Here is a 14,182-nt window from a genome sequence, read left to right as displayed (position 1 = left end):
CCTCAGAGTCTGGATCTGCCTTTCACTGAGTGGTGTCCTCTGTTCCAGACCTTTCCCGTCCCACCATACAAGAGACCTGTCCCACATCGTTCAATCACTCAACACTCCCATGTCTGCCTCCCATGCTTCTCTGAATTTTCAGCACCTGCCCAGCTATGGCAGCCACATGATAAATATCTCCTGAATGAAAGTTGGACTGTCCATCTTGCTCATCAAGGTGGAATGAAGAGGGGTTCAGGCCAGGAGGCAGGGTTGAGGCCTGGCATCCCAAAAGGTGCCACTGGTGTTTCCTTGAGCAAGAGCTACTCATCAGTGGACCTTCTTTTCTTCACTAAGAAACTGATGATCTATAAAGTTCCTTCTCACTCCTAAATTCTGCAAGCCCAGCCTCTGTCTGATAAACTAATTTGTGTCCAGCTGTTAATGGCTTAATGTATTTCCCAGATAACATATTTCAGTTTAACAGGGGTCTTCCACTCTTTCAGCCAAAGCAATGACTAATGGGAAAAAGCTCAGACACGGTGGGGGCCGGCCAGGGGAACTTCAGACAAAGTAGGCTCTCTAGACTGCTCCCATGCATGATGTGGGCTGACGCCTCTCCACCCACACATGAGGCAAGGCTGATGGGGGGATGTCAGCTTTTACATGGTCTTAAAATGACAAAAGAAGGATCAGAAGCACTGTGGCACCCCATGGGGAGGAGGGAATGAGCTAGATAGCTTGTCAGAGGGAGCCCATTTTGCCTCCAAATAGCTGGGCTTGAATATAAAAATACCACAGAAGAGCTTCACATTGCCTGCCGCATGAAAACCCTAGCCATAGTAGTGGCTATTTATTGAGCATGGTACTGGACACCTTTCACAGCAATACTGAAAATACCTCATCACAGCAATACTGAAAAGGATCCTTTTTGCTATTTTGCAGAGAAAGGCTCAGAGATGGAGAGTGATTGATCCTCTTCATCTGACTTGAAAGCCACCAAACAGGAGTAAAACTCAGGCCTCCCTGCCTGGTCCCCTATTTCTGCAGTTGTCTGCATTACTGTCATATTACATGCAGGAAATGAAACCCCAGAAATGCCATCTCTAGGATCATGAAGGCAAACTGTGTGCAGACATTTTTGCAAGTAGCTTAAAGACTTAGTCTCTTTCCTTCTCTGGGGGTACCCAGAGACCTTGGAAAGAAAGGAAGAAGATGTATAAAAATTAAAATAAAAAGCTTGTGGAAGTACACAGTTGGTAGGCTTTTCAGAACTTCAGAGTCGAATTTAAGAAAAGCACTAATCCTTCCTAGAGAAGAAAGGACTCCTGTCCACAAGCCAGCGACAAGGAAGGCCTGAGCACAAGAGGTGCCGTCTCCCCTCCACCAGCCTTGGAGGGGAGTAAGCCTCCTACCAAAAGGTCAGCCTTGGAACACTGGGGTCTGCAGGGGGTTGAAGGCTGTTGGAGGTTTTGAAAGTAAGATGTATGGCTTTCAGGAGGGCAAACACAATGTCACACTGACAAGCCTACGAATGAATGAATGAATGAATACGCCCCCAGAAAGGGCTGGGTTGGGCTAGCAAAGGATTTCTCTCCTTCCTCTCTTCCCTTTTCTTTTTTCTTGAGATAAAGAATTATGTAAAGGGATCTCCCCATTGCGCATACTAAATGCCACTGCATTTAGTATGTTCCCTTGACAGGGTTTAATTTGTCACTTCCTGGCTCCCCCGACAACTCAGATACTTTCTTCCTTCTAATGGGGGGGGTCAGATGAGGGTCAAGAATTTCTGGGTAGAGTAGTGTCTCCTATCACCCCTCCCAATGTCCCTGTGGGCTGCCTACTCCTCTGGAGTAGGTCATGTATGGTCACACCTCCATGCCTTTGCTCAGGCTGTTCCCTCAGCATGGAAGGTTTTTCCTTCCATTCTCTACCAATTGATATCACGTTGATCTTTCAAGACTCAGAGCAAAACTAACTGCTGGTGAATTCTCGGATCCTTTCCACTCATCAGAAGTATGTAAATGCTCTTAGTACTTTGTTTCTATCTCCTCTACGGCCTTTAAAACAGTACAACTCCTCTTATAGTAGGAGAGAGGTGCATTTCATTTGTTGTTATGGATGTAAGCAATGACATTAATATTATTACAACTGGATTATAAGTTGCTTAGGAACAGATACTCTATCTTATTCATCTTTGTGTACTCAGAATAGTACTGGGCTTATCATTGGTATAATTAAATAGAATTGACAGATTCAGTGTCAGGGCTATAGGGAATTTAAAGATCATCCCATCCTACTCCCTAATTTTCCAGAAGAATCTGAGTCCCCTAGATAGACCCCTTTCCACTGTACCATCAAAAATGTAATGAATATAAACTGCACTGAAACGGGAAGCCAAAAATACTAGGCATACAGGCATCTTGAGTGAGACCTCACGAAGAAATCAGAAATTCATGATGCCCTCACCAGGCTAAAGATTCACTTGTTTGCTGGGAATCTGGATATGTACTTGACATTTTCTTTTAAGTATTACCAGAAGGAGAGCTTTTGGAGAGTGAAGATTACGTGTCATTTCTCTCTATAGCCCTCAAAACGCTCGAAACATAGAAGGCGTTCAGGGTAAAAAATAAGTTTCAGGATGAATGAATGAATAATTGAAGACTAATTTGAAAGCTCCAGGGTAAGTGGTTTTTTACTTATTCAAGCAGACAAACTGGTCCCAAGCAACCCAGGGCATATATCCCAAGAGCAGACATGCTATTCCCATGAATCCAAGGGTTGCCAGGTGCCTCTGGAATTTATTTGCTCTGTTCAACATCCGGGGCCTGAGGACTCCTTCTCCAGCCCCCTCCCCACCCACCACCTCAATGCAGCAGATAAGGGTTGAAATTGTGCAATCTTTGGGAGACCTCTGACCCCCTTTTAAGGGCCTCCGTGCTGCTGGTCCTCCCTCCTCCCACCCTCCCAGGAGCTGCACCTCTAGGGTCAGGGCATGGGGACCTGTGGCCATTTTGGGAAGTGCCTTAAAGACTCATTTTAGGCATATCTAGTCTACTCAGGTGGGCTAGGGGTTCATTAAGGTGAAAAAAAAAATATTTTTTTAAACTTAAAAAAAATTCCTGCCACAGAACTGTGGGCACAGAAATATGGATAGCTATTGTTGAAGCACTTTTAAAAGTTCAATGGCTTCTAACTTTTGCCCTCTGTTCTGGTTTTGTATTTGAATGATTCAGAGAAACAGTTTAGAAAGGAGTTGCCCTCAAACTCTCACTGGGTTGCATTTGTCTGTTGGTTTTTTGTTTTGTTTTGTTTTCGGTGGTTGTGGTTTGGTGGGGGTGAGGGTTGGTGTGGTTTTGTTTATTTTATTTTCCCTGTGGGATCAGCCCTTTCATTCTTGGCCAGTTCTGGTCACTAGGGATTAAGGTTAGCAATTTAAGAAGCAGTGTCTTTCCCAAAGGGCTGTGGTCTATGTTTCCTGGGAACTATTGAGGAACTGAGTGCCTCCCTAATAACCCTTTTGCTGTAGGGAATGTGGTTGCTAAAAGTTACCCGATTGAACAATTAAAGGAAAACAAATAGCCTTGAAGTGGGTTAAAAAATTATTACCTGATGGGAGGCTTGGGAAACCTTTCCCTTAGAACAAAAACAGTAGGTAAACTAACTCCATTTTTGTTAGGGATCTTAATCCTCCCAGGACATGGTTGTTTGCAAGCACACATACACAACGGTGGACACAATCTACTCCAGGGCTTCCTCCTTCACCCAGCCCAGGAGAGGGTGCCTCCAGTGAGCACCACTGGGGTCGGGGTGGATGCTGGCACTCTGGGTCTGGTCCACAAACATGAGTTGAGGGAGGAAACAGGTGCACCAGCAGAAACAGAGTGTATCTGCAATCACCCTCTATCCAAAAGTCCAGAGAGGACAACCTGGGAACTCCCAAAATGAAGGTGCCATTGTTTAGCAAAGGAAAACTTCAAGTGCTGCTAATGACTTGCTTTTGGCTTCTGCGCAGGTCCATGACATTGCATTGGTCATAATTACTGCTGCTGTTGATTGGCCTCAGCTGTTCTGGGCATTTCTCAGATTGTAGAGCAGAACCAGTACGGAGGTCCTCCAGAGCAAACTCAATTCCTTTCCACAGCTTCCTTCCTGGTCATATTCCAGTGAAATGCCAACATCAAGAACTCATGATAACCTGGTTTTATATTTTTCAAAAACACTCTCACATCAGTTATCCTGGCAGTTATTCTTAGAACTGCTCTGTGAACTAAGCTGAATGGCTGGCATGGTCCCATTTTCCTGAGAAGGACACTGAAGCACAAAGAGGTTGAATGAGCTGTCCAAAGCTGCACAGCTGCCTAATGAGAGGTTCACACTAGGCCTTAGACCTATTAGCTCCTATCCAAATACCCTCCTCATAGGTTCTCAAGACAAGTGGACTTTACACAATAATGTTATTATTAGCAAAAGTCCTAGGCACTATCTAAGTGCTTTATATAAATCACCATCTTCAGTCCTCACAATAAACCTTTGAATATGGTACCACTGGCATTTTACAGTACAATGGAGGTACACAAGTGTTAAGCAAATTGCTAATTGTCACACAGCTTATAAATAGTGTGGCTGGAATTGCAACGCAGGCCTGTCAGACTGCATAGCCTGGAACCTAAGCTTCTGTGCCTTTCTGCGTATTTCCTTAGACTAGTCCCTGCCATCCCTCCTCCACCCCATGGAGTCCACATAGAACTAGCCTGCCTCAAGACAGCCCTTTGGATATTTGAGAACAAGTGCCAAGGCTTCCCAAATCTTCTCTAGGCCAGGACAAAGGCCACGGTTCTTTCAATACTTCTTCTACCTCTTTTCCGTCCTTTTGCCATACCAGTCCATCCTTGAAAAGGCTCCTCAGGCATTCTCGGAGGGGTGCCCAGAAGCCCTTATCGGCTACTTTTTGTTGACTGAACTCATCAAACTCTACTTCGCTGACTGATATTAGGCAAGCACAGCAAACTGCACCATGGGGCTCTGCTGCTGTGAAGGGGGATGAGAAGCCCCCAGAGGAAGGGCTGCAGAGAGGAAGTGCTGACTGCTTTTTCTTCTCTCCTTCCCGATGAGAACATGGAAAAAAACAGCCTGCCCTTCAGAGATTGCCTCCCTGCCTCTGCTTTCTCAAGGAAATGTTTTCCTGAGAGCCACTCAACGTGCGTGCAGGACGCCCATCCCGGATGAAGAAGTTCCAACCACATGTGTCTGCTCTTCATAACCTGGAGGAGACCCTGTGCCCTGGCATCACTCCCTGTTTCCCAGGATTGCTGAGGATTTGCTGTCCCAGCTGGAACCCTTAGCTCTTAGAGCTGGTAAACATCAGGCTCTGCTCAGGCTCTGCAGCTTCTCTGCAGTTGGCAGGGATCAAGCCCGTCTGCAGGGAAGAGATAGACATGGGTCTGTTTTCACTGGACAGACTCATGGTTATCTTCCTGAAGGAAGCCTAGGGGGCTGGGCTGGGAGCCTGGAGATCTGCACTGCAGGCCCTCAGGGTCTGAGTGCATCCTTCAGAGACAAGCTGCTTGAATTCAAGTTCTGGTCTTCCCTGGAAAATATGTGACTTGGGGCAAATTATTTAAATTTTTCATGCCCTGCTCGCTCATCTGCACATGCAGATTATAATGATGCCTGTCTCTCAAGATTGCTGTGGGGACCATGTGAGATATGCATGCGAACACTGGGCACAGTGCCTGTCACATGATCAGTGCTCATTGAAAGTTTATTGTTCCTATTGGTATTATTGCTTTATACAACTTGACTAGGGATCAAGTTATACATGGCTAGAGCATTTTTAACTTTGCAAGGACTTTCATTATTCTCTCATTTGATCCTAATAATTCAGTGAGGTGACAACATCAAGGTTTACCATTATAATTGTGTAGGAGAAAACACTAAAGCCCAGAAAGGTGAAATGCCTGGTTCAAGGTCACAGTCTAGACCCATGATTAGATCCCAGACCATCTGACCTCCTGCCTTGGGCTCCTGAGACAGGGCTGTGATGAAGTTTGACATGTACTATCACTGCATTTTCCCTCCTGTTATGCAGCTGTCTTATTTACTACAATCAAGAGCTACTCTCATGATCTAGGACATAAAATTCCCAAATGTGGATATGTACAGGCTACCCTGATCTATACACCCCAGTTTCTATCCTAGGGGAAGTCCAAAGAAGAGATTCTTGTATCTTTTCATTCCCTGACCTGGTTCCTGGGCCAAGGATGGTCCAGTCCCTGCCTGGTGCATGAGTCAGTTTATAGCCTGGCTCACTACCCAGTCCATCCCATCCTGGGGCATCAGGTTCAGCCAAGACTCATCGTCTGACTATGAGCCAAAACTCAAGGGTGTAGGGTACCAAGTCCTCCTGGAGCCTTCCACAGGATCATCCCCTGCAGTCCACCCCCCAAGGGGCCTTTTATGATTGCCCTAGGAAGGGGCCTAGGCTCTCTTTTTCAATGACCCAAATCCAAGCTCATTTCTCCTGAGGCCTCTGGACTATAGCAAATCAGGGTGGGAGAAGGAGGTGGAAGGAGGGTATAGCTGGCTGCTCCAGATGCTTCCCTCTAGTTGCCATTCCCAAGTGGCCTATAGAAGGAGATCCCAGGAGTAGGAGGCTTCACATCTGGAGCTGAGAGGCACCATGCTCCATAAAGTGGCTCCAGAACTACCAGCTTTTCACACCATGATCCATCCAGGACTGATAAGCACCATCCAGCCCCCATCCACACCAACTTGGTTTGCAGGTTGGCTCAGCTGTGTGTTTCTGGGAAGGACAGTTTATCTCGGCACTCTTCTGGCTCTGAGAGCTACTTCACTCCCTCCTTAAGAGACATCAGCACTGGCTCCACTCAGCACTTATTGTCCAGGGATGCTCTAATGACATCAGCTTCCTGAGAGCTGGACAGTTCCCCTCACATCAAAGCCTGGCTAAGCTCTCCTCTACCCCCATCACCATGTTCACACTTGGATTCACCCTTCAGACCATGACAGCACATGGAACTGGCCTCTCACAGTCCACAGCCACCCCAAGCACTGCTTGGCACCTTCATCCGATTCCTCTTTGCATTACACAGAGCCAACCGGGCTGAGGATTTAAAAAGAGGGCCTTGTTGCAAATGAGTAGTACTACAGGGGTTGAAAACCAGCTGGCCACATGGCAGAATTGTCCTTATATGTATTAATTATATATTATATAATTAAAAAATTGTCCTTATATGGATATATTTATTAATGTATCCAGCAAATATTTTTTCTGATTGACCACTAAGTGCCAGGTTCTATTCTGGGTGATAGGGAGGGAGAGTGAGGAATGAGACAGACAAAGCTGGCACCTGCCCTGGAAGAGCTGATGCTAGGCTGGCATTAGTGACAAACAAGCAAGTGAAGATATAGTAAGTCCTAGAGAGAGAAGCCACTGAGGGATAGCATGTCCTTGGGGTGGAGTGGGGAGAGCATTTTGGAGGGGCTGCTCAGAGAGGCTTCTCCAAGGAGAGCTTCTGCAAGCAGAGGCTTAAACAAAGGCAGGAAGCAAGCCACATGGAAGACCTGAAGGGGCAATGTTGCGGGGAGAGGGAACAGGAGTGTGCAAGCCCTGAGCAGAATGTGACCAGTGTGCCCCCAAACAGCCAGCAAGCTACTGAGGCTAGAGCACAGTGAGCAAGGCAGTGGGCAAGAAGATGTGAGCAGGAGAGAAGGGTCAGGCCAGCTTGTATAGAGCAAGAGTCAGCAAACTGCCACCCAGGGGCCAGATCCAGTCCTCAACCTGTTTTTGTAAGCCCGTCAGTTAAGGACAGCTTTCAGCTTCTCCAGTTTTAAAGGGTTGGAAGGAGAAGGAGAAGGAGACAGAGGGAGGGGAAGGGGAAGGGGAAGGGGAAGAAGAAGGAGGAGGAGGAGAGAGGGAGAGAGGGAGAGAGGGAGGGAGGGAAGGAAGGAAGGAAAGAAGGGAAGATGAGGAGGACAGGATGAGGAGGAAGAGGAGGAAGGATGAGGAAGGAGGAGGAGAAGAAGATGATGATGTGATAGACTCCCATTTGGCCTAAAATATTTACTATCTGGCTTTTTACAGAAAAAGTTTGCTTATCTCTCATATAGAGACCTACAGAATTGTAAGCCATTTAAATTTTATTTCCGGTGTTATCAGAAGTCACTGGAAATAAAAGTCACTGGAGGGTCCTAAGCAAACAAGTGGAACAACCTGATGTAAATCTGTTAATGCCTATACACTGGCTACACCATGGAGAGATGACTGCAGGGTCCAGGGTGGTGGCAGGAGGGTCAGATCCAGGACACTTGCACAGGAATGACAGGAGGGTAGTGTCTGGGAGGGTAGCAGTGAGTGTGGTGAAGAGGGATCAATTTTGCAACATATTGGCAAAGATGTGCAACTGAATATGAGTGTGAGGGAAAGAAAGGAGTGAAGGATGACTCTTAGGTTTTTAGTTTGAACAACTGGGCAGGTGTTGCTGCCACTGACAAAGATGCAGAAGACTAAGGGAGAAACAGTCTGTGAGATGAACTTGAGAAACCAAGAGTTCCAGTTTGGGCATGACCAGTTTGAGATGATTAGACATCAAATGGAGACATTTATATATACATTCATGCAAGATGCACGCACATATAACATAAAGAATGATGATGTCACTGATGCTATTGGAGAAAAGAAAAGAAAAAAGAATGTACTGAAGGCTTACTCTTACATGTGAAGTATTTCATATTCATTCTCACAACAACCTATAAGGAAAAAATTCTCCATTTGTCTCTCCTATTTTACTGATAAGAAAACAAACCAGGGGTTCAAGTTTCTTAACACCACATCTGTTAGCATGAACAATACATCTGTGTCTACTTGGGAATATGCCCTTCCTTTTTTGGTGCTTGTGTTGAAGCATTTTTATTTGGGGACACAGTGGACAAATTGAGTTCTCCCAGTTGTCTGGAATTGTTTTCTACAGACCAGGGACAATAAAATTTTCTTGTTTCTTACCTCTAAATTTAGTACAATTAAATAAACACATGTTTTCATTACAATACTTTTTCTTATGCAGTACTTAATTATAAAATGCATGCTTATCAGTTAAAATATCAGTTAAAATCCAGGAAGGTGCTGAGAGTGGCTGAGAGTGGCTGGCCACTTTGATTCCCTCCAGGAATGCTTCCTCTAAGACCTAGAGGTCTCATCATTCATGATTTCACTAAGGCACGTGTTCGTCCTGTGCCAATCCACTTGTTCTAAAAAACGAAGAACTTCAGGAATGGAAAAAATGTAATTACAGAGCACTACTTCTATTTTGTTTTTTAGACTTCAGATTCCTGGCCATCTCTTATTAGCTTATTTCTGCTCAATTTCCAGTCAGACCCACTAACTGGGATTTTTAACCCGAGGGGTCTCCATGGATAGAGAGATGTTATACGGCCATACGTTTTGCAGTGGGCAGGGCAGTGAAGGGGAAGGAGGGTCCATAGGTTTTGTTACATTACCAAAGGGGTATGTAACTTCAAAAAAGGTAAAAAAAAAACAAAAAAAACAAAAAAACAAAAAAACAACAACGCTAATCTTTTTCCACTTCAGTGATATTTCCCATAGTCTGTGAATGTTACCTCTTTTTTTTCCTTAACAGTCTCCCATGGAGCTGAGACAGTGGCATTTGGGGTTTGCTTTCAGAAACTATGCGAGTACGGATTGGTATTTTTCCAGGCACAGCATAAAACGGAGCCTAATTCATTCACTTCCACATTGACACAAGGGAGAATGTTCTAATTCCGCAGCCACTGAGAAAGGCAGTGTCGCCCCCAGGCTTCACACAACCCTCTTTCACTTAATTATTATTTAAGTCTCACCCTTGGCCCTGACTCCACACCGTGGGTCTACACCATTTCCCTGAGTACACACAGTCTTAGATTCCTTTGAGCCAAAGAAAATAATGCTGTTCTGATAGTCGAAGGCAAGAACAGACTTTCTAAGCAGGTTGTTCATCTGCCAGAATTCTTGCATGCTATGCCTTATTCTTAAACTCCAGATATCAATCACCATCTCTATAGGGTAGAGAAATGGAACAGAAAATACAGACAGTCTCCTGTTATTTCATTTTGTCAAAAGCAAGTAGCATATTCAAGTGGAACATTTAAGATCCAAGATCTTTGTGAGCATTCATTCCTTCATTTCTCCAACAAATACATATCACATATCTACTGCGGTCCAGATACTTTTTAAGTGCTGAGGACAAAGTAGTGAACCAGACAGACAAGGTTCCTGCCCTCCTGGAGCTTATGGACAAGTGCAGGAAGATTGCAGGTAAATACAAGTGTGCTAAGAAGTATGAAGGAAAATATGAAGTGCTATTGAGGACAGGTAACCAAAAGACCCTATGGAGTAGATTGATGTTAAGGAATAAAAAAGACTTCCCTGGCTGGGCGTAGTGGCTCATGCCTGTAATCCTAGTACTTTGGGAGGCTGAGGCGGGCGGATCACAAGGTCAAGAAATTGAGACCATCCTGGCTAACATGGTGAAACCCCGTCTCTACTAAAAATACAAAAATTAGCTGGGTGTGTTGGTGTGCGCCTGTAATCCCAGCTACTCAGGAGGCTGAGGCAGGAGAATTGCTTGAACCCAGGAGGTGGAGGCTGCAGTGAGCCAAGATCATGCCACTGTCCTCCAGCCTGGTAACAGAGTGAGATGTCATCTCAAAAAAAAAAAAAAAAAAAAAGAAGACTTCTCTGCTGAAGTAACAGCTATGCTGATACCCAAGTAGTTGCTGAGGCCAAGGCTCATGGAGGAGAACAGAAGATTAGGAGCCAAGGCTTCTGCAAAGGCCCTGAGGCCAGAACTAATACAGCATATTGCAACAACTGGAAGAAAGCCTGTGTGGCCAGAGCATGGAAAATGAAGCCACAAATGTCTAGAAACATGCTGGAGAAGAACTTGGGGATTTGCACAGAGTGGGCTTTGCATATCATTGTAGGGATTTGGATCTTTATGCTGACAGCAATGGGGAGTCATGAAGAAGTATTCGGCATGTGTGTGTGGGTTTGTCTGACATGATCAGATTTGAGGGTTTGTTTTGTTTGTTTGTTTTGAGATGGAATCTCACTCTGTTGCCCAGGCTGGAGTGCAGTGGTGCAATCTCAGCTCACTGCAGCCTCCACCTTCCGGGTTCCAGTGATTCTCCTGCCTCAGCCTCCTGGGTAGCTGGGATTACAGGGACGTGCCACCATGCCTGGCTAATTTTTGTATTTTTAGTAGAGACGAGGTTTCACCATGTTAGCCAGGCTAGTCTTGAACTCCTGACCTCAGGTGATCCGCCCCCCTTGGCCTCCCAAAGTGTTGGGATTACAGGCGTGAGCCACTGCACCCAGCCAGATTTGAGGTTTTACAAGATTCTGACTACAGTGTGAAGAATGGGCAAGGTTCAGTAGACCAGGGGAAGGATGCAGATGGTTTGGACCAGGGTGAAGGTAATGAACATGAAAAGAAATGGACTTACCTAGGAGAAAACCGGGAGCATGAACCAACAGAACTCAATGGTAGGTTAAATGTGGAGATGAGGATGAGGGTAGGATTAGTCCTCTAATCAGTAATTTCTGGTAGTCCTTAGAGCAGTTCTAGACATCCCTTCCTCCCTCTCCCCTAGGAAATGGCTACGTCAGTGGACATCGCAGTTGGGGTTACAGTAGCTGGGTGTAAAGCTGAAACAGCCACGAACTCATGAGGCTGCAGTGACACTGGCCATTGTTGTGTTGATTGAAAAGCCACAGATGTCCTCACCTGGAGCCTTTGTGTTGGCTATTGTGCTGCCTGGATCATGCTCTCTGGTCTTTACCTGGTGGATTGTTCAGTTTTCATGCTGCTGCCTCAGAGTGGTCTTCCTTGAGCCCCTCATCCAAAGTTGCCCCTGTCACTCCTGAGCATATCATTCAACTTTACTTTCTTCATAGTACTTGTCGCTCACTGAAATAAACTTATTTTTGTATTTGTTTACTCGTGTTTTGTCTACATCTCTCCATAAGAATGTAAATTCCATAGAATAGAAATTTTGCCATTCTTGCACCACACTGCTTAGAACAGTGCCTGGTACATGGTAGGTACTTAATAAAAAGAAGATAAATGAGTGAATAACTCCCCCAAGAAAAAAGGCCTCCAGACTGCCCTCTCTTTTGGCATTCTGGACATCCATAGCAAACTTGACTTCAGTGTTGTCCTGGTCTGAGTGATCCCTGTGGTTGGATTCCCCACCAGCTGTTTCAGACTCATTCTGGCCTCCATCTCAACAAAGGGCTCAGGTAAGCTGCAGTTTTCAAAGAACAGCACTCCCAATGGGGTATTCCTTTTCTTTATTCCCCGAAACAGAAGAACCACCAGCACTGGTATTTTTCCAAACTCTATACCTTGGGGCACAAAGCAAAGGCAATAGGATCCCAGGACAGAATTACTCATTCACGCCCATGACTGGAAGAACTCACAAGCAAATATTGCTTGTGCTGCTGATTCGTTACTATTTTTTCTCCCTACTTTTCCCTATAGAGCTCAGGGCCAAAGTCAACTGCATTTGTAGTTCATAACTGGTTCTTTTTAACCCAGTGTATGGGACAACATTTGGTTCTCCTAGCTAAATTCCTTCTCAGAAAGGGCACTAGATTCTTCTCTCTTACTCCTCTAAAGTTTATTTTGAAAAGGTGCCGTTTGCATAACATGAAGATAGGGACTCCATTCTACAGAGGGGAAAGAAGCCTGGCATAGTAAGACCCAGCCAAGCCCCTGAAAAGCCCAGCAAAGGGGCAAGTCAGTGCTTCGTCACCAGCAAATGGTCTCTTCTCAGAGCTTGTGAGTCGATGGTTGGTGTGCATGGTTCTTCTGTTTTCCTGCAACATGCCTGCATTCTCCCCTGAAGCCAGGAGGGAAATAACTAATAACAGAATCACTGTCCAGTATTATTTCAGCTAAACCATAATATGATGCTGGTAGGATGATAAGATCAATTGTCATCTTATAAACCTACTGGATTGCCCTGGAGTTGGGTTGGGAGTGGGCCTGAGAATGGGGTAAAGGACAGGGTCCTAGAATGGCTGGGTTAGACAGAGGGTCTCATTCTCCAGCCTGCCTCTCAGAGGAGCAATGCCAAAGCTCACACTAGCAGATATGCTGGGCCACCCTTGAAATGAAATGAGGATACAGTTCTGTTTTAAACCCTAATTCATCTGCTGGAACTCTCACTTAACTGGGAGTATTTTTCTTTTTCAAATACATAGGTGTTATCCTATCCATTTGCCTCTCTCAGAAAATAGAGTCAAATGGACAGGATAACACCTATGTATTTGGAAATTTACAAAAAGAAAAAAATCAGCTTTGAAGGATGCTATGGAGGGCTGAGCTCAAGATAACGGCAGTGCCATTTGTAGACCACCTTACCCCCCACCCCCAGCATTTCCACATGCTCCACAACACCACTCATCTGTGTCTTCTGCACCTGCGCCTCAAACGGCAACAGCAGCAATCATTCATTGAATAATGATCCTTCAGGATGTGATGAGCACTTTGTATATATTATTTTTTCAGTTCACATTAAAAAACCCCATGAGGTGGATATCATTATTATTTATATTTTACAAACAGGAAACTGAGAAATTAGAGACTTAAAGCAATTTGCCCAAGAAAACATAGCTAGTAAGTAGTACCTGATGTGGGAGCCAACCCCAGGAGTACCCAGCACCAGAGGCCCCGCTCCATGTTGTTCCTGGCCTCTCTTTGACCAAGCAATCGATTTATTCTGTTTACTAAGACAGGAAAAGTGCATTTGTTTGGTTTTTGTTTTTTTCCCAGAAAGACTTTCACCGACTATTTTTCCTAACACTAAATTCAAACAATACCTGAGCCATAGTTTCTTCTTAAAAGTTAGGGTGTGTTAGACAAGATTATCATTAAAGTGTCTTTCAGATCCTTGCCAGGCACGGTGGCTCACGCCTGTAATCCCAGCACTTTGGGAGGCAGAGGCAGGCGGATCACGAGGTCAGCAGATCGAGACCATCCTGGCTAACACGGTGAAACCCCGTCTCTACTAAAAATACAAAAAAATTAGCCGGGCATGGCGGCGTGCCCCTGTTGTCCCAGCTGCTGGGGAGGCTGAGACAGGAGAATGGCGTGGACCCGGGAGGCGGAGCTTGCAGTGA

At 45.3% G+C, this 14,182-nt stretch overlaps 1 protein-coding gene and 1 non-coding gene across 39 annotated transcripts in view, besides 2 other annotated features; one reads left to right on the top strand and one right to left on the bottom strand.

The window, feature by feature from the left end:
- Positions 1–14,182, bottom strand: part of NAV2 (neuron navigator 2) — a 776,366-nt gene that overhangs the window by 348,265 nt on the left and 413,919 nt on the right. The window lies entirely within an intron of this gene.
- Positions 164–672: an enhancer, noted in NCBI's record as "OCT4-NANOG-H3K27ac hESC enhancer chr11:19794211-19794719 (GRCh37/hg19 assembly coordinates)". NCBI's record gives its function as "activates a minimal SCP1, AML or CMV promoter by ChIP-STARR-seq in naive and primed H9 embryonic stem cells {active_cell/tissue: H9 hESC(naive and primed)}" and the evidence as "EXISTENCE:reporter gene assay evidence [ECO:0000049][PMID:30033119]".
- Positions 673–1,180: an enhancer, noted in NCBI's record as "OCT4-NANOG-H3K27ac hESC enhancer chr11:19793703-19794210 (GRCh37/hg19 assembly coordinates)". NCBI's record gives its function as "activates a minimal SCP1, AML or CMV promoter by ChIP-STARR-seq in naive and primed H9 embryonic stem cells {active_cell/tissue: H9 hESC(naive and primed)}" and the evidence as "EXISTENCE:reporter gene assay evidence [ECO:0000049][PMID:30033119]".
- MIR4694 (microRNA 4694) lies at positions 13,254–13,333 on the top strand. Its single transcript, NR_039843.1, has one exon. It is a non-coding gene; the product is annotated as a microRNA 4694 (primary transcript).

This window comes from Homo sapiens, chromosome 11, assembly GCF_000001405.40.
Source record: "Homo sapiens chromosome 11, GRCh38.p14 Primary Assembly".
NCBI lineage: Eukaryota > Metazoa > Chordata > Mammalia > Primates > Hominidae > Homo > Homo sapiens.
Note: the sequence above shows the minus strand (reverse complement) of the source record. Positions and strands in the feature narration are given on the sequence as shown.